The sequence below is a fragment of the Homo sapiens genome, chromosome 9 (genome assembly GCF_000001405.40).
Source record: "Homo sapiens chromosome 9, GRCh38.p14 Primary Assembly".
In the NCBI taxonomy this organism is placed as follows: Eukaryota; Metazoa; Chordata; class Mammalia; order Primates; family Hominidae; genus Homo; species Homo sapiens.
In genome coordinates this window covers 94,368,731-94,388,679 of record NC_000009.12, presented here as the reverse complement: position 1 = coordinate 94,388,679, position 19,949 = coordinate 94,368,731, and the positions used below count along the sequence as shown (strand labels likewise).

Genomic DNA, 19,949 nt, shown 5'->3' with positions numbered 1-19,949 from the left:
TTTTCCATGCAAATATATAAATGTATTTTTAATGTGATAAAAGTTGTGTAGCCGATTTACATAAAAATAAATTCACCATATTCATATCAATAGGCATATAGTCATTTCATCACTTTTAACGGCAGCTTAGTACTCCACCTAATGTATGTGCCACAACTGTTTCACCAAGTCCCTTTTAAGTTACAATCTTTCATGAATATATACAATTAGTACATACATATCTTACAAATATACCTCTGTGGTCTTGTCCCAATAGTGCCTTACAGTAAGTTCCTTGAAGAGTGATTGCCAGGTCAATGGGTATGGCCTTTTTTTTAGTGTACATTAACTGGCCTCCATAAGTTTCCCACCCAAGGAGTATATAACAAAAGAATGGTAATTTAAGAACTGAAGATTACTCCAAAGCAGTATTCAAGATGCCTAAAGCTAAAAATAATCTTCACATTTCACCACACATTTTATGACTCTTTTTTCATGACCCATGATACTCACATGTATCTGGCTGACTAATAATTTAAAATATAAAGCCACTATTTTTTTCAGGGAACATATTACCACGCTACAGATCTTAAATGAAGTTTCTGTACTTCTACTGCATCACAGTATAAAGAGATATTCTACATTACGTGCAAAAGATACTTTCATTAATTACTTAAGTACTTCAAAGATCTATGCACAAAGAACTACTAATATATAAAATTCATACTTTTGCTATTTTTAAATTGAAGCAATTAGTCAGATGAATAGTAATTACCAAGAAGCGCATTATCCACAGAATTTTAAGTTTTTCTTCAGATCTCCTCGTGGCTTGACCTAATTTAACAATAGACAATGTAGAGCAGGGGAGCTATTTAGGCACGGAGTGACTACATGACAATGCCTAACTCTGTGACAGCACACAAATAACAACAAAAAACAATGCTCAGACAACTCAGGAGTCTTCTTCCTACCTCTACTCTTGAATACGAAAAACAAAATTGCCTATATAGGCAACATAAGGAACTAAGCTGTCAAATAAAAATTAGATTTGAGAACAGAGATGAAGAAAGTCCCAGCTCCATTGTTCAGTCAGCCTGGTCACTTTCAGCAAGTCAATTTATCTCCATGCACTGATGTTTCTCACCATTAAATCATGCACTGCTCTATCACCTACTTCAAAACTATCATGAGAATTGATGAGTCATAGTCAATAAAAGCATATCACATTCCTTAGAACATTGATTAGAATATTCATCAATTCTTAAAAAAAAAATAGCAAACCAGGTGAGACACACTCAATTAAGAAGATTAAATTTAAAAGGCGGGAAAACATCCAGGTTTTTAGGTGCTTAGTTATTCTGCCTCATTGGAAAGGTCTAATACTGTATATAAACAATATTAATATGATTTCTAGTAGAACAGTAGATTTCAAAAGAAGTAAGTGCAGAAAGGGACGTGGCAAGCACAGGAAAATGAAGATGGTGAGGGAAAAAACTTTTTTACATCATACATAGTGCCTTTCCTAGGAAGTGCCCCTTCCCACCCACCTTAATGAATGTCACAGTAGACATGAGAGTGTTCTCCACAAAAATATTAAAAGGATGGCCCAGGGCTGATGCGAAAGGAAAGAAAAGGTAGAAAACCACCGAGTATGGGGCAAAATAGTAATATTCATATTGAAATACTGATTTTGTAAGAGGAGGAAACTTTTAAGCCAGAGAGAAGACAACTGTTAATGTAAAATTAATATAAATGGATAGTAGAAAAAAAAGTCTGAAAAGCTGAGTTTTTCATCCATCTCAAGAAAGAGCCACAAAATCAATCTTTAACAAAGTGGAAAAAAAATAGTTAACAGTAATCAAAATTACCCTTCTGCTTTATACAACCAAGACACACTGGATGCCAGGCAATAAAGGACAGAGATCCCTGAAAATCAGGAAAGAAAAGATGTGCTGTACTATTATCCCAGCTTACTGCCTGATACAGATTCTAGGCCTCTGCTCTGGTAGGAAGAACCCAGACAAAGCCTGGAGGACAACTTTCTGAGTTGACATGAAAGTGAGAGCTAATGGAGATCAAGGCAGAACAGAGTAATGGAGGGAAGAGAGAGAGAGAGAAGCCCAGAGATCTGCAGAAGATCCACTTCAAGAATTCAGCAGGGTACTGATAAGCACATGCATGTGACGTAACTATCAAAAACCAGGGAAAAAACATCTGAACAGTATACAGATCTGGCCAGATGTCACTCTGAGCCTATGCATGTTTCCACCATCTAACCTTAAAAAACTTTTTTCACTCACATAGTGCTGAGTACAAAATCAGGAAAACCTTGCCTGAGTAGTGGAGAATAATTAGTCCTACACTGAGCACTGCTCCAAATGTGCCTAATAAGATAACTGCAGATTAGACAATGCAGAAAAACGATACAAACACGATATGTTCTATACATACATGAAATTAAGAAAGTGATTTCATTTATAACAGCATCTAAAAGAAAAAAAAATACCTAAAAATAAATTTAACCCAGGAAGTGAAAGACTTATACACTGAAAACTACAAATCGTTACCGAAAACAAATTTCACCTAAATAAAGACATTTATGTCCACAGGAAGGAAGACTTACTATCACTAAGCTATCAATACTATTCAATGTGATTTACAGATTCAATACAATCCCTATCAAATTCCCAAAGACTTTCTTGCAGAAATGGAAAAGCCCAGGAGTTTAAGATTACAGTGAGCCACGACCACACCACTGCACTCCAGCCTGGGCAACACAGCAAGACCTTCTCTCAAAAAAATAAGTAAAGAAAAAAAAGGAGGTCCTTATTCAGAATTCAGGATCACCTCAAATTCATATGGAATTGCAAAGAACACCAAACAGCCAAAACAGTCTTGAAAAATTACAAAATTGGAAAACACACACTTCCTGATTTCAAAACTACAAAGCCACAGTGATCAAAACAGTGTGGGACTTGCTTAAGGATAGACATACACCAATGGAACAGAATGCAAACTCCAGAAATAAGCCATGTATGGCCAACTGATTTTGAGCAAGGGTGCCATAAAAGAATGGTCTCTTGAACAAATGCTGTTAGAGCAACTAATTTTTGGCATGTGAAAGAGTAAAGCTGGACCCCTACTTCACACCATATATTAAAATTAACTCAAAGGGATTAATGGCCTACACATAAGAGCTAAAAACATAAAAGAGATAAATCTTGGATTTGGTAATAGATTCTTATATATGACGCTAAAAACACTAGAAAAGAGAGAGAGAAGTTGGGCTTTCTCAAACCACAAACTTTTAAAATGAACCAAAGACCTATCATTAGACTTAAAACTATAAAACTTAGAAGAAAACATAGGGCAAAAGCTTCATAGTATGCATTTGGCAATGACTTCTTGGATATGACAACAAAAACCCAGGCAACAAAGTCAAAATAGATACACTGGACTTTATCAGAATTTAAAACTTATGTGCATCAAAGGACGCAATCAGCAGAGTTAAAAGGTAACCTATGGAATGGGAGAAAATTTGCAAATCAACTACCTGCAAGGGAGTGTCTCAGTCTATTTTGTGCTGCTATAATAGAATACCACAGACTGAGTAATTTATAATGAAATGAAATTTACTGGCTCACAGTTCTGGAGGAGGAGAAGTTCAAGAGAGAGGGAACAGCATCTGGCCAGTGCCTTCTCACTGCGTTATCCCAAGGGAGAAGGCAGAAAGACAAAAAAGAGACAAAGGGGAGCCAAACTCATTATTTTATAAGGAACCTACTACCAGGATAACAAAACTCACTGCATTAATCCATTAATTAAGGGCAGGGCCCTCACAGCCTAATCACTTCTTAAAGTTCCCACTATTTTTTTTTTAACCATTTTCTTCAATAGCCCTGACAGTCCCACCTCTTAATACTATTACAATGGCAATTAAGTTTCAAAGTGAGACATTCGCACCATAGCAGGGAGTTAATATCCAGAATATATGTATAAAGAATTTTACAACTCAACAATAAAACAAAACGCAAATGACCCAATTTAAAAATGGGCAAAGAGGCCAGGAATGGAGGCTCATGCCTGTAATCCCCGCACTTTGGGAGGCCAAGGCGGGTGTATCACTTGAGCCCAGGAGTTTGAGACCACCCTGGGTAACATGACAAAACTGCAACTCTACAAAAAATACAAAAATTAGCTGGGCCTGCTCGTGCGCGCCTGTACTCTCAGCTACTTGGGAGGCTGAGGTGGGAGGATCGCCTGAGCCTGGGGAGGTCGAGGCTCCACTGAGCCGTGATCATGCCACTGCACTCCAGCCTGAGCAACAGAGAGAGAGACCATGTGTCCAAAAAAAAAAAAAAAAAGGAAAATTTGACACACGGCACACATGGACAAACCTTGAGGACATTATGCAAGATGAAATAAGTCAATCACAAAAAGATAAGGATGAATATGGTATGATTCCATATATATGAGGTATCTAAAGTAAGTCAAACACATAGAAACAAAGGAGAATGGTGGTTGTCAGGGAATGGGAGGATGGCAAAAAATGGAGTTGTTGTTTCATGGGTATAGAATTTGTTTTGAAAGAAGAAGTAGTTCTGGAAATTGGCTGCAGAACAATGTGAATATACTTACACTACTGAAGTCTACACTTAAGAATGGTTAAGATGGTAACTTCTTTGCTATGTGTATTTTACCACAATTAAACAATTTTTTAAAAATCAACCGTATTTCTATATGCTGGCAACAAACAATTGTGAATTTAAATTTTAAAAAATTACATTTATGTAATGATACCATTTACAATAACGTCAAGAAATATGAAACGGAATAATCTGACAAAAGATGGGAAAGACATGTCAACTGAAAACTACAAAACTCAGCTGAAAGAAATTACAGATCTAAAATAAATGGAGAGATACTACATTCATGCATCAGAAGACTTGATCAATTCTTTCCAAACAGATCTTCACGGCAAAAGAATACCAATAACAATCCCAAAAGGCTTTCTTGTGGAAATTGCCAGGCTAATTCTAAAATGCAAAGACCCAGAATCACTAAAACGACTTTAAAAAATAACAAGATTGGGGGACTGTTAGTTTTCAAGTCTTATGAACCTCCAGTAATCAAGACTGCAGGGTACTGATGTAAAGACAAATAGATCAAAGGAACAGAATAAAGAGTTCAGAGACTGACTAATATATGGACAATTGATTTTTGACAAAGATGCAAAAGTAGACCAGGCATGGTGGCTCACACCCATAATCCCAGCACTCTGGGAGGCCAAGATGGGTGGATAACGAGGTCAGGAGTTCGAGACCAGCCTGGCCAACATGGTAAAACCCTGTCTCTATTAAAAATACAAAAATTAGCCAGGTGTGGTGGCGTGCGCCTGTAATCCCAGCTACTCAGGAGGCTGAGGCAGGAGAATCGCTTGAACCTGGGAAGTGGAGGTTGCAGTGAGCCGAGATTGCGCCACTGCACTCTAGCATGGGCGATGGGACAAGACGCCATCTCAAAAAAAAAAAAAAAAAAAGATGTAAAAGCTATTCAATGAATAAAAACATATTTTTCAGCAAATGAACAACTGTTCATAAACAAATAATTTCCATCCTTATTTTGCACCATATAAAAATGTAATCAAAATTAAACACAAACCCAATTGTAAAATCTAAAACTATAAAGCTTCCATAAACATAGAAGGAAGGCCAAGCACAATGACTCACGCCTGTAATCCCAGACTTTGGGAGGCCGAGGCAGGTGGATCACGAGGTCAGGAGATTGAGACCATCCTGGCTAGCGCGGTGAAACCCCGCCTCTACTAAAACTGCAACTCTACTAAAAATACAAAAAATTAGCCAGGCGTGGTGGCGGATGCCTGTAGTCCCAGCTACTCGGGAGGCTGAGGCAGGAGAATCGCTGGAACCCGGGAGGCAGAGATTGCAGTGAGCTGGAGATTGCAGTGGGCAGAGATTGTGCCACTACACTCCAGCCTGGGCGACAAAGAAAGAGACTCCGTCTAAAAAAAAAAGAAAAAATAGAAGGAAATTCCTATGATTTGGGATTAGGCAACAATTTCTTAAATATGAAACCAAAACCCTGATCTATAAAAGAGCAAATTGATAAATTTCATCAAAATTTAAAATTCCTGTTCTTCAAGACACTGCTGAGAGAATGAAAAGATGGACCACGGCCTAGAGAGAATGTATTTGCAAATCATTTGACGAGGGACTTGCATCCCAAATATGTAACGAATTCTCAAAACTCAATTACAAGAAAACAACCAACCAACAACAACAACAAAAAATAGGCAAAAGACAAGAACAGACACTTTGCCAAAAGGGATATACAGAAGACATATAAGTTTAGGGAAGTTGGGCACATGGCTCACACCTGTAATCCCAGCACTTTGCGAGGCTGAGGCAGGTGGACGACTTGAATCCAGGAGTTCAAGACCAGTCTGGGCAACATAGTAAGACCCCATCTCTATAAAAAATTAAAAAATTAGCTGGGTATGGTGGCATATGCCTGTAGTCCCAGTTACTCGAGAGGCTGAGGTGGGAGAATTACCTGCGCCCAGGAGGTCAAGGCTGCAATGAGCCAAGATCACGCCACCGCACTCCAGCCTGGGCAACCAAAGTGAGACTCTGCCGGAGGAGGAAAAAAAAAAAAACTTATGGAAAGATACTGAATGCCACTAGCCATAGGGAAGCACAAATTAAAAGAACAATGAGACATCACTAAAGACCAATTGGAAGGGCTAAAATTGGCCAGGTGTTGGTAAGGATATGGATGAACTAGAATTATCATACAGTGCTAGCTGCAATGTACAACTGTACAATTACTTTTAAAATAATTAGTTTGGCAATTTATTTTATTTTATTATTTTTTTAAAGACGGAGTCTTACCATGTTGCCCAGGCTGGTCTCAAATCCCTGGGCTCAGGCAATCCTCCTGCCTCGGCCTCCCAAAGTGCTGGGATTACACGCATGAGCCACCATGCCCAGCCAACAGTTTCTTAAAAAGTTAAATACATCTACCATATGACCCAGCCATTTCACTCCTATTTACTTTTAAAAAAGTGTATTCTGTACAAAGATTGGCACACAGATGTTCACAGCAGCTTTATTTGTAATAGCCAAAAACTGGTGAGAAGCCGAAAGTCCATCAACAAGGGAATGTACAAATCGTGGTTCATCCACAAATGGACTACTACTCAGTAATTAAAAAGAATGAACTACCGATTTACATAACACTGATAAATCTCAAAATAATTTATGCTGAACTTTTTAAAAGCCAAAGAGGAGAATATGCTGTATTTATAAAATAACAAAAAAAAAAAAAAGCTAGAAAATTCAAACCAGCTGGGGGCAGTAGCTCACGCCTGTAATCCCAGCACTTTGGGAGGCCGAGGCGGGCGGATGGTCTGAGGTCGGGAGTTTGAGACCAGCCTGACCAACATGGAGAAACCCCGTCTCTACTAAAAATACAAAATTAGCCTGGCATGGTGGCGCATGCCTGTAATCCCAACTACTTGGGAGGCTGAGGCAGGAGAATCACTTGAACCCAGGAGGCGGAGATTGTGGTGAGCCGTTATCACGCCATTGCACTCCAGCCTGGGCAACAAGAGTGAAACTCCATCTCAAAAAAAAAAAAAGGGGGAAGAAAATTCAAGCCAATATATAGTGACAGAGTAGATAAATTATCGCCTGGAAATGGAGGTGTAGAGGGAGGTAAAAAGAAACATTTGAGGGTGATGAATATGTTTACTATCTTGATTATGATAATGGTTTCACAGGTGTATAGATATGTCACAACACAAAACTGTGCACTCCAAACACACAGTTTATTTTATGTCAATTAAACTGAATAAGGTTGTTTAAAAAAGACAAGCAAATACAAAGCTAACTATAAAAAAGTCAGACTAATGCTGGGCACAGTGGCTCACACCTGCAATCCCAATGCTTTGGGAGGCCAAGGCAGGAGGATTCTTTGAAGCCAGGAGTTCGAGACCAGCCTGGACAACAAAGCAAGAGCACATCTCTACAAATAAAAATTTAAAAATTAGCCAGGCATGATGGGACGTACGTGTAGTCCCAGCTACCAGGAGGCTGAGGCAGGAAGATCACTTGAGCCCTGGAGTTCCCGGGTGCACTGAGCCATAATCACACCACTGCACTCCAGCCTGGATGAAACAGTAAGACTCTTGTCTCAAAAATAAATAAATAAATACACATTAAGAATAGATTTCTCTCCAATTCTCACAGAACAATGCTCTTGCTATGCCATAACCTCTTTCTCCATAGCATATCTAAGATTTCATAACCACTTGTGAAAGTTCTATGACATGCTGAACTGGAGGAAGGGAAGAGGAAAAGGGGAAGAGAGAACACATGTAAGAAACTGAGAAATTTCTTTTTTTTTTTTGAGAAAGAGTCTCGCTCTGTCGCCCAGGCTGGAGTGCAGTGGCACGATCTCTGCTCACTGCAAGCGTGGTCCACCTCCCAGATTCACGCCATTCTCCTGCCTCAGCCTCCCAAGTAGCTGGGACTACAGGCGCCCACCACCACGCCTGGCTAATTTTTTGTATTTTTAGTAGAGACAGGGTTTCACCGCGTCAGCCAGGATGGTCTCAATCTCCTGACCTCGTGATCCGCCTGCCTCAGCCTCCAAAAGTGCTGGGATTATAGGCGTAAGCCACCGCGTCCAGCTGAAACTGAGAAATTTCAAAAATGCTTCCATAGGGTAATAAAGCATGTTTACGTGTATACAGCCAAAAGGATACCTAACAGTAAGAAAAAATTAATGTATTCCTGTTACGTAGAGGAGGTTGTATGCACTTTTACCATTACCATTGAATACTTTCCTGGATATTCTAGTTCATTTAACATCAAAATAAGATATAAAATTATCAACACGTGCAATATTTGTGAATATTTATCCAGAAGATCCTACAAAATTAAATATTTTTTGAAAGACAAAGCACAAGTTATCAATGCAGAGTACCAGCCAGGCATGGTGGCTCATGCCTATAATCCCAGCACTCTGAGAGGCTGAGGCTGGAGGATTACTTGAGGCCAGGAGTTCAAGACAAGCCTGGACAACACAGTGAGACCCAATCTCTACAAAAAAATTTAAAAACTAGCCAGGCATAGTGCCACGTGCCTATAGTCCTTGCTACTAGGGAGGCTGAGGCAGGAGGATCATTTGAACCCAGGAGTTTAAGGTTACAGCAAGCTATGATTGTGCGCCACCGCACTCCAGCCTGGATGACAGAGTGAGGCCTCACCTCTTAAAAAAAAAAAAAAAAAGGGCCAGGCGCAGTGGCTCACGCCTGTAATTCCAGCACTTTGGGAGGCCAAGGCAGGTGGATCGCCTGAGGTCAGGAGTTCAAGACCAGCCTGGCCAACATGGTGCAACCCCATCTCTACTAAAAATACAAAATTATCCGGGCATGGTGGCACAAGCCTGTAATCCCAGCTACATGGGAGGCTGAGGCAGGAGAATCGCTTGAACCCGGCAGGCAGAGGCTGTAGTGAGCCAAGATCACACCATTGCACTCCAGCCTGGGCAACAACAGTGAAACTCCGTCTCAAAAAAAAAAAAAAGGAAATGCACACCAAGAATCCCTACAGAAGGTGAAAAGAGCCTACGAGGTCATTATTCACAGCTTTATGCCAACTAATTTGACATTTTAGATAAAATGGGCAAATTCCCAACAAAACACAACTTACTGAAACTGACAGAACTAAAAATCAAACAGAAAACCTACGCTGTTCTAGAATTAATCTCCAAAAGGCCAAGAACTATAAAGTTCTAGAACTGTATTACCAATCTTACACAAATTCTTCCACAGAATAGAAAACCAAACTATCCAATTTGTTTTTAAGGCAGATAGCATTTGGATATCTGTCTCCTCCAAATCTCATGTTGAAATGTGACCCCCAGTGTTGGAGGTGGGGTCTAGTGGCAGCTGTTTGGGTCATGGGGGCTGATCTCTTCTCAATTGTTTGGTGTCCTTCTCACAGTAATGAGTGAGTCCTCGCTCCATTAGTTACCACAAGATCTGATTGGTTTTGTTTATTGTTTGTTTTTGAGACAGAGTCTCACTCTGTCACCCAGGGTGGAGTGCAGTGGCGCCTCCCAGTTTCAAACAATTCTCCTGTCTCAGCCTCCCAGGTAGCTAGGACTACAGGTATGCACCATCACACCCGGCTAATTTTTGTATTTTTAGTAGAGATGGGGTTTCACTATGTTGGCCACGCTGGTCTCCAACTGCTGACCTTAAGTGATCCACCGCACGCGGCCAAGATCTCATTGCTAAAAGGAGCCTGGCACCTCCTCCCCTCTCTCTCTTGCTCCCTCCCCAACACGTGATAAGCTGCTTCCCCTTCGCCTTCTGTCCTGATTGCAAGCTTTCTGAGGCCCTCACCAGAAACAGATGCTGGTGCTAAGCTTCCTGTACAGCCTAAAGAACCACTTTTCTTGATAAATTCCCCAGTCTCAGGTATTCTCAGGTATTCCTTTACAGCAACGCAAACAGCTAACATACACCTCCTTTTTTTTTTTTTGGAAATGGAGTCTCGCTCTGTCGCCAGGCTGGAGTGCAGTCTGTCGCCAGGCTGGAGTGCAGTGGCACGATCTCAGCTCACTGCAACCTCCGCCTCCCAGGTTCAAGCGATTCTCCTGCCTCAGCCTCCTGAGTAGCTGGGACTACAGGCGCCTGCCACCATGCCCAGCTAACTTTTATATTTTTATAGAGACAGGATTTCACCATGTTGGCCAGGATGGTCTTGATCTCTTGACCTTGTGATCCGCCCACGTCAGCCTCCCAAAGTGCTGGGATTACAGGTGTGAGCCACCGTGCCCGGCGACACACCTCCCTTTTCTAGAAGGAAATGATCTCTTGGAGTAAATACTTGATTCTCTTTTATTTTTCAGATTATGACATCTCTCTGCCAGTATCTTTTTCTGGTCAATATATCTCTTTGCCAAATAAGGTAGAAAAAAGTTGTCAGGCCAAGCATCATGGCTCTAACCTATAATCCCAGCACTGGGAGGCTGAGACAGGAGGATCATTTGAGCCCAGGAGTTTGAGACCAGCTTGGGAAACAGGAAGACTTCATCTCTACAAAAAATAAATTAAAAAAAAAAAAAAAAAAAAGCCAGGCATGGTGGCACATATCTGTTGTCCCAGCTACTCAGGAGGCTGAGGTGAGAGGACTGCTTGAGCCCAAGAATTTAAGGCTGCAGTGAGCCATGACTGGCCATTGCAGCCTGGATGACAGCAAGACCCTATCTCAAAAAAAAAAACACAGAAAACAAAAAAGAAAAAAGTTATCAGCTGGACAATCTTCCCTGTGATTACTAGTAGCATCTAAGAACCTGAAATCATGAGTGTCACTGAAACCAAGCTGTAAGGAAATTCCAACACATTAAAATGAAATCAATTCATATAGGGGCTATAGGACACAGCACCCGGAGGTGACATTAGAAACTGCAAACAGGAAAAACACATAATTCAGGGGTACTAGCATATGACACAAACATATATGATTAAAAGCATTCACTGTTCTCCCAACGTCCACACACTCAGAAAAACACTGCTACCTGCTCATGCTAGCCTTCTCACTATCTACAGCAAACACCAAGAAAACTCAGTATTCATCACAATTAACATCAACTCCATGCGTTCTCAGAGAGGAGGAAAGACCAGGCAGGAATCTACCTGTGCCCAAAATTAGGTTACCATCAGGATCCAACGGAGAAAGAACTGGGGAATAAACTGAGTCTAGGTTTCTTTGAGTAAACATCCCTCGCAAGTTTCTGCTCTTAAGCACACAAATTTAGCAACTTTAATTTCTAGGTTGGGGTCTAGTTCCTGTCAACACTAGGAAATGGGAGACAACTACTTTTATCACGGTCAGATCACCTATAGATTGTGATCATTCAATCATACATGCAAAGAATATTACAAAATACTAACAACATTAGTATGTATTAAGGGGCTTACTAGATGCCAAGTTGCAGCAACCCTCACAACCCTCTGAGGTAAATGCCATTATTAATCAGGAGTTACGTTAACTTATCGAACTGTGGAAACTGGGATTTCAAGCATGCTCGTCTAATCACTATACTAATAATGCTTCAACCTGCCAATTTATTTTTTTATTCTGTAAGCCATAAGGAGCCAATGAAAAAAATTAAGGACAGCAGTAATGATCATCTTTACATGCTAGAACACACTACTCAGCCACGTGCAAGGTGGACTGACGCTGGGGTGAGCAAGGGTCTTGAAAGAGATAGTCAAAGTCTGGGTCAAAAATGCTGAGGAAATTCTGAGCATAAGAATGCATAGGAGAGGATAAAAACCTAAAATCTGTATCTAATAAACTTAGCTAGACTTTCTGATTGTTTTAAGTATGGGAAGGGATGAAGGAAGCTACCTCGCAGGTTACTAGCTGGGCCACTGGTTAGTAATTACTGTCCATCAATTCATGAGACAGGAGGAGGAACTGGTGCTTTAGTTTTGTGTAGCAAGCAGGAAGAGGACAAGTCTACTTAACGCGAATCAAAATGAGAGCAAGCAATTATACAGAATTTCTCTCCCTCGACAAAATAAGCTTCTCATATTACAGAGATCTTAACTTTGAAATGCTTTTCAAAATAGGGAGTCACTTGGGCTGGGAGGGGACTTCAACTAAGTCCTCATTTTACAGAGGAGGCACTGAGGGGCAAGGCTGTTTCAATACCCTGTCCAGAGTGCGCACTGTTCAGGCAAAACCAGGACTAAAAACCAGCTCTGCCGGATCCGTTCTACCTACTGCTCCTTCTGCTTCAGCTGCCCTCCCAACCTACTAATAGGGATTTACATCCCCAAATACGTTCATGTAAACACTTAGCATTCTTCAACTAAACACAAAATCAGATATGTAAGCTAAAAATCTAAAGCCAAAAACATGTATTTAATTTCCATAAAATTTCTACTTTTCTTTGGAAAAACTTTCCCATTGTGTCAGTTTCTATTCACTGTAACATTCTCTATATTTCAGGTCCTAAGACCAAAAAAAAAAAATCCTTTTTAAACTTAGGCCTTGAAGAAACGACAAACCCTCTAGGCTTAATATTGCACCATATGAAACCACTGACACAGACAAGGCCTGTTCTGCCGAAACCAGGCCAGTTAAGTCAGGGCTCAATTGCTTCTGTATCATTGTCAGAAGCCATCTCGACCTCAAGCAAAAGTAAAACTGGAGAAAGAGGCCAGCCTAACTTGCTCCTCGGCTGGTCCCCAGCAACGCCCCTGGAAACTCTGCTCCCCATCGCTAGGACCGCCCCTCCGACGCCGGGAGAACACGGAAGGAGCAGCAAGGCGCTGCCCGGCATCTGCCGCCAACTTCCCCGTCGACGGTCTGATTCAAATGCTCCCTACCTGTTTTCCATGTAGACTTGGAGAGAAACTGCGCCAGGAAAACTGTTATCAACTGTTACAGGGACGGAGAACTCCGAAATAACCAAATTACTACTTATATTCACTGTCCCATGTCTAGCGCCTTTTGAAACAATAACCAAATCCTGTAAAGTTTTGTCTGCGATGAGCAGTCACTAGGAAAAACCTGTATTCGTGATGAATTCGCCTCCCCCCCCAGAAAAGGACCGACTTTCCAAGAGCCGAAGCCCCTGCCCGGAGCGGCGGGCTCGCGGGCCCTGGGTGCGACCCCACCCAGCCTCCCCGGGATTCAGGCAGCCGGGCCCCGCGCCCGCGCTCACCCAGGTGCTCCCCGCGGCCTGCGCGCCCGCGCGCTTCTCCGGCATGGCTCCCGCCTCGGGCTCCGACGCCGCCTTCTCCTCCAGCTCCGGCGGCGGCTCCACGCTCATGCCGCGGCCATGCCCGCGCCAGCCCGGGGCGCTCCGGGACGACGGCGACGCCGCGGAGGCGGCGGCGGTGCCCGCGCCCTCATGGGCTCTGCGGCCCGCGGCGGCCTGCGGGTCAGGCGGCGGCGCCAGCGGCGGCGCCGAGGGCTGAGGAGGCGGCGGAGGCTGAAGCTGCGGATCAGGCTAGCAGAAGACCGCAGCTCCAGGAACCGACCACTTATCAAACCGCACCGACCCCGACTCTCGCAGTTACCGGCGGCGTCAGGGGCGGGCTGCACGGTTAAGAGACTGTGCCCCGCCCCGCCTCCCCACAGGCCGGCGCCGGGCAGGAGGCCCCGCCCCGCACCTCAGCTCCCGCCTCGAGAACGAGTCCCGCGCCTGAGTAGCCTCCAGCGACGCCACGCCCACTTCAGAGACCCCTCCTTTACCTCGCGACTGGCCCCTTGGCATCAGGACTTCGCGGCGCGCGGGAAGTACGTCATTTCGAGAGCCCGTACGACTGATTTCTTTTTCCGGAGAATCTGGACTGAGGCTAGCAAGCGGGGAGGGGCAAACTCGTGGGGGTTTGGTAGTGATTGCAGTTCAGTTTTGGTCTTGGTTTGCGCCAACCCGCCAACCTCTCAAGTTTTTCTATGGTTCTCTAAGAAGAAAATAATATACTAGCAATGTTTCCCAAACGTACTTGAACACAACACTTTTTATTCTTGACACATGATTAATATCTTGTAGAATGTGTAGGACGCAGTTGGAAAAGCCTGGCTTATGTTTATTTATTTTGAAAGATATGCACCTAATACTGAAATATAAAAAAGCCTACAGGCCTGGAGCGGTGGCCCACACCTATAATCCCAGCACTTTGGGAGGCCGAGGCGGCTGGTTCACCTGAGGTCAGGAGTTAGAGACCAGCCTGGCCAACGCGGTGAAACCCTGTCTCTACTAAAAAACAAAAACAAAAACAAAAAACACCAAAAAAATTAGCCGGGCTTGGTGGCGCACGCCTGTAATCCAAGCTACTCGGGAGGCTGAGGCAGGAGAATAGCTTGAACCTGGGAGCCGGAGGTTGCAGTGAGCCGAGATAGCGTCACTGCACTCCATCCTGGGCGACAGAGTGAGGCTCTGTCTCACAAAAAAAAAAAAAAAATCTTTTTACAAACATCAATAGAAAAAAGAATAAAATTATTTCTATTAACAGGATTAGTAATTTTAATTGAATTAAAGTCATTTCATTTAAGAATTTTTTCAGGTTGGGCGTGGTGGCTCACGCCTGTAATCCCAGGACTTTGGCAGGCAGAGGTGGGCGGATCGCCTGAGGTCAAGAGTTCCAGACCAGCCTGGCCAACATGGTGAAACCCCGTCTCTACTAAAAATACAGAAGTTAGCCGGGCATGGTGGCGGATGCCTGTAATCCCAGCTACTTGGGAGGCTGAGGGAAGAGAATCGCTTGAACCCAGGAGGCGGAGGTTGCAGTGAGCCGAGATGGTGCACTGCACTCCACCCTGGGTGACAAGAGTGAGACTTCGTCTCCAAAAAAAAAAAAAAAAAAAGCCTCTTTTTCGCTTCCCACCCACTACCCCCAAACACACACACACACACTTTGCAGAAGTCTTTACTTTTATTTATTTATTTATTTATTTGAGACAGAGTCTTGCTCTGTCACCCAGGCTACAGTCACCCAGCCTAGATCAGTGGCGTGATCTAGGTTCACTGCAACCTCTACCTCCCGCATTCAAGCGACTCTCCTGCCTGAGCCTGCCGAGTAGCTGGGATTACAGGTGCGCGTCACCATGCCCGGCTAATTTTTGTATTTTTAGTAGAGACGGGGTTTCACCATGTTGGCTGGGCTGGTCTTGAACTACTGACTTCAAGTGATCCGCCCCCCTCGGCTCACCGAGCCGGCCTGGTCTTTTTTCTTTTTTTTTTTTTTTTTTTGAGACGAAATTTCGCTTTTGTCGCCCAGCCTAGATCAGTGGCTCGATCTCGGCTCACTGCAACCTGTGCCTCCTGGGTTCAAGCAATTCTCCTGCCTCAGACTCTCGAGTAGCTGGGATTACAGGTGCATGCCACGACCTGGCTATCTTCTGTATGTTTAGTAGAGACAAGTTCACCATGTTGGCCAGGCTGTTCTCGAATTCCTGATCTCAGGTGATCCACCCGCCTCGACCTCCCATAGTGCTGGGATTACAGGCGTGAGCGACTACACCCAGCCTGATTTGTCTACTTTTCTGAATGATTGTTTTAACAAATAGTTTTCAAAACACAGAGGGAATATATGTATTATGTTATGCTGTTTGAGTATTATGTTTATGCCACTTATGAGCTTGGGTATCAGTTTCTGATTCCTGTATCCATGAAACAGAAAAGTTTGTAAACTGTTTTTTTGTTTTCTTTTGAGACAGTCTTGCTCTGTTGCCCAGTCTGGAGTACAGTGGCGCGATCTCAGCTCACTGCAACCTCTGCCTCTCCGGTTCAAACGATTGTGGTGCCTCAGCCTCCCGAGTAGCTGGGACTACAGGCACCTGCCACCACACCCAGCCAATTTTTGTATTTTTAGTAGAGACAGGGTTTCACCATGTTGGCTGGGCTGGTCTCCAACTCCTGACCTCAAGTGATCCGCCTGCCTCAACATCCCAAAGTGCTGGGATTACAGGCATGAGCCACCATGCCCAGCCTGGACTGTTTTCTTAAATAGACTTACAATAAAGTTATCCTAGAGGGAATAATGGAGTTTTTTGAAGTTTATTTTCTTTATCACAAAAGCCACTAAAGTTTGCTATAATACTAGCAGTGTATATTTTTAACTACAGAATAGGCTGTGATTCTACTGAGGCAAACTTATAAATTATACCAGATAAGTATACCATTATATCTTTGATGGTTGATATTGCCATATCAGCTATATCAGAGTAACATATGCTAATACAGTTCTTTTTCCTAAGAGGAGAAATTCAAACAATTTGCTGATCTTTTTTTTTTTTTTTTTTTTGATACAGAGTCTTGCTCTGTCGCCTAGGCTGGAGTTCAGTGACGCGATCACAGCTCACTGCAGCCTTGACCTCCTGGGCTCAAGTGATCCTCCCACCTCAGCCTCCTGGGTAGCTGGGACCACAGGTGCATAAAACCATGCCTGGCTACCTTTTTAATTTTTGGTAGAGACAGTGTCTCACTGTGTTGCCCAGCCTGTTCTCCAACTCCTGGGCTCAAGCAATCTTCCTACCTCAGCCTCCCAAAGTACTGGAATTATAGGCGTGAGCCACCGTGCCTAGCCTTGCTGATTTCTATTTAATATTTTTGTTGAGATTTTTCGCTTTAAATAAATTAATCATCTGGTCTTAAAGCTGGATTTTAAGATTGGGTTAAACTTAATGCTAAAATAGGGTATCTAATAACTGAGAGTCTTTAATCCCCAAGACTATCCTCTGGTTTAATGATTCACTAGAAGAACCCCAAAAAGCTATTTTACTCATAGTTACAGTTTATTATAGTGAAAGGATACAGATGAAAATAGCAAAGGTAAGAGGCAGCAGAGTCCACGAGAGACCACGCACAAGCTTCCAGTTGTCCTTTCTGAGTAGAGTCTATGGGCAGCACCACTAATTCTCCCAGCAATGATATGGATCTGGGTGCTGTGCTCTCTCTCTCTCTACTTGTGTGTGTGTGTGTGTGTGTGTGTGTGTGTGTGTGTGTGTGTGTTAACAATACATGTAGTTTCAGAATTTCTAACTCTGTGGAAGCAAGTTTTCCAACTACAGTGTTTATGTACGGTTCTTTTTGTTTTTATCCTGAAAGTAGCCAGTCAAAACAGTTTTCCAAATCAATTCAATTTCTTTCTTATTTACTCAAATCAATTCTTTTTTGATTGAGTAATCAATCAAACTTTTATTTATTTACTCAATTTATTTTTTCCCCACTCACTTTGGTGAGGTTATGCCATACCTTTGTAATATAATTAAGTTCATTTGTCGTGCTGGCCATTCTATCCTAAGATCCCACATTAATTTGCATAAAGTTAACTCTCTGCAGTGTATTGTTCTGTGGATTTTGACAAATGGATGGGCCAGGTGCAGTGGCTCAGGCCTGTAATCCCAGCACTTTGGGAGGTCGAGGTGGGAGGATCACTTGAGACCAGGACTTCAAGAGAAATAGGTAGTTATGCATCTACTGCCACAAGACCCTAAATATTCCCTTGTGTGGTCAATTTGTAATCAACAGAAAGGGGGAAGTGGTATTGAATTCATCACTTTTTATATATAATTTGAATCTTTTTTAAAGTATGATGCAATTGGGTTGTTCAATAATGTCTGTGAGTCTCCTTGTACTGGCAGTTGTCTGCTGGGAAGGAAATCCAGAGCTGGCACCTGCATGGCCCAGATCCAAGCCAAGGTGTATAAAGCAATACCTTCACATGGTATCTTTGTTGCTGTTTCTCCACCCGTCTACTGTTCCCTGTGTGAAAGGATAACAAACTGTCTTACGATAATTGTCTAAATGTTTAAAACACACTTCACTTAATTTTGTTTGTTCCGAGCACTACTTTGTAATTGCAATTATAACAATGTGTTAAGATAAACTTATTTTCACAGATTTTTTTTTTTTGAGATGCAATATCGCTCTCTCACCCAGGCTGGAGTGTGGGGTGCAGTGGTGCAATTTTGGCTCACTGCAACCTCTGCCTCCCAGGCTCAAGCGATTCTCCTGTCTCAGCTTCCCAAGTAGCTGGGATTACAGGTGCATACAACCACACCCAGATAATTTTTTTTTTTTTTGAGATGGATTCTTGCTCTGTCGCCCAGACTGGAGCGCAGTGGTGCAATTTTGGCTCACTGCAAGCTCCACCTCCCGGGCTCAAGCAATTCTCCTGTCTCAGCCTCCCAAGTAGCTGGATCACAGGCACATACTACCACACCTAGATAATTTTTTTGTTTTTTCAGACGGTGTCTCGCTCTGTCACTCTAGAGTATAGTGGCACAATCTCAGCTCACTGCAACCTCCGCCTCCCAGGTTCAAGCAATTCTCATGCCTCAGCCTCCTGAGTAGCTGGGATCACAGGTGCCCACCACCACGCCCGGCTAACTTTTGTATTTTTAGTAGAGATGGGGTTTCACCATGTTGGCCAGGCTGGTCTCAAACTCCTGAACTCAGGTGATCTGCTCGCCTTGGCCTCCCAAAGTGGTGGGATTACAAGGGTAAGCCACTGCGACTGGCAACAGATTTTAGTTTAAGATAATGTTCTAATGAAAACTTGTTTTCAGTATTTGCAATGCATTATCAGTCCTATCTGAGAGTATTCAGTTAGGTTGGCGCTTTTTTTTCTCTTTTTTTTTCTTTTGTTTTTAATGGAGAACTATCCTTACTGAACCTCCTCAATTATTTGCCTTCCATTCAGCACTAAGCTAAAAGGCAGATGTGAATTGCCATCTGGAAAAAAAGTATATTTGGCAATTATACATACCAAGGTGATTCAGAGTCAAATGGACCGGGCAAATGTTTTATACAAAGGGTGGAATTTTAGTTAGAATGGCGATCATTAAAAAGTCAGGAAACAACAGGTGCTGGAGAGGATGTGGAGAAATAGGAACGCTTTTACACTGTTGGTAGTGTAAACTAGTTCAACCATTGTAGAAGACAGTGTGGCAATTCCTCGAGGATCTAGAACTAGAAATACCATTTGACCCAATGATCCCATTACTGGGTATATACTCAAAGGATTATAAATCATGCTACTATAAAGACACATGCACACATATGTTTATTGTGGCACTATTCACAATACCAAAAACTTGGAACCAACCCAAATGTCCATCAATGATATACTGGATTAAGAGAATGTGGCACATATACACCATGGAATATTATGCAGCCATAAAAAAGGATGAGTTCATGTCCTTTGTAGGGACATGGATGAAGCTGGAAACCATCATTCTGAGCAGACTATCACAAGGACAGAAAACCTTGACACAGGGCAGGAAACATCACACATGGGGGCCTGTTGTGAGTTGGGGGGCAGGGGGAGGGATAGCATTAGGAGAAATACCTGATGTAAATGATGAGTTAATGGGTGCAGCAAACCAACATGGCACATGTATACCCATGTA

General features: G+C 42.7%; 1 protein-coding gene across 4 annotated transcripts in view, besides 4 other annotated features; it reads right to left on the bottom strand.

Annotated features, from left to right (window-relative positions):
* The window catches only part of SLC71A2 (solute carrier family 71 member 2), an 86,626-nt gene extending 72,363 nt beyond the window's left edge, over positions 1–14,263 (bottom strand). For 3 of the 4 annotated variants that reach the window (NM_032558.3, XM_017015219.3, XM_047423972.1), the window contains exon 1: positions 13,753–14,111. In NM_032558.3, coding sequence (NP_115947.2) covers positions 13,753–13,860 — 108 coding nt within the window. In that variant the 5' untranslated portion in view covers positions 13,861–14,111. Of the gene's footprint in view, positions 1–13,752; positions 14,112–14,203 lie in introns of those variants that run through there. The other variant, XM_017015218.2, reaches the window with a different exon arrangement.
* Positions 8,231–8,310: an enhancer, noted in NCBI's record as "active region_28631". NCBI's record gives its function as "activates an Ori minimal core promoter by ATAC-STARR-seq in GM12878 lymphoblastoid cells {active_cell/tissue: GM12878}" and the evidence as "EXISTENCE:reporter gene assay evidence [ECO:0000049][PMID:35858748]".
* Positions 13,342–13,841: an enhancer, noted in NCBI's record as "H3K27ac hESC enhancer chr9:97137121-97137620 (GRCh37/hg19 assembly coordinates)". NCBI's record gives its function as "activates a minimal SCP1, AML or CMV promoter by ChIP-STARR-seq in naive H9 embryonic stem cells {active_cell/tissue: H9 hESC(naive)}" and the evidence as "EXISTENCE:reporter gene assay evidence [ECO:0000049][PMID:30033119]".
* Positions 13,842–14,343: an enhancer, noted in NCBI's record as "H3K27ac hESC enhancer chr9:97136619-97137120 (GRCh37/hg19 assembly coordinates)". NCBI's record gives its function as "activates a minimal SCP1, AML or CMV promoter by ChIP-STARR-seq in primed H9 embryonic stem cells {active_cell/tissue: H9 hESC(primed)}" and the evidence as "EXISTENCE:reporter gene assay evidence [ECO:0000049][PMID:30033119]".
* Positions 13,893–14,292: a silencer, noted in NCBI's record as "silent region_20056". NCBI's record gives its function as "represses an Ori minimal core promoter by ATAC-STARR-seq in GM12878 lymphoblastoid cells {active_cell/tissue: GM12878}" and the evidence as "EXISTENCE:reporter gene assay evidence [ECO:0000049][PMID:35858748]".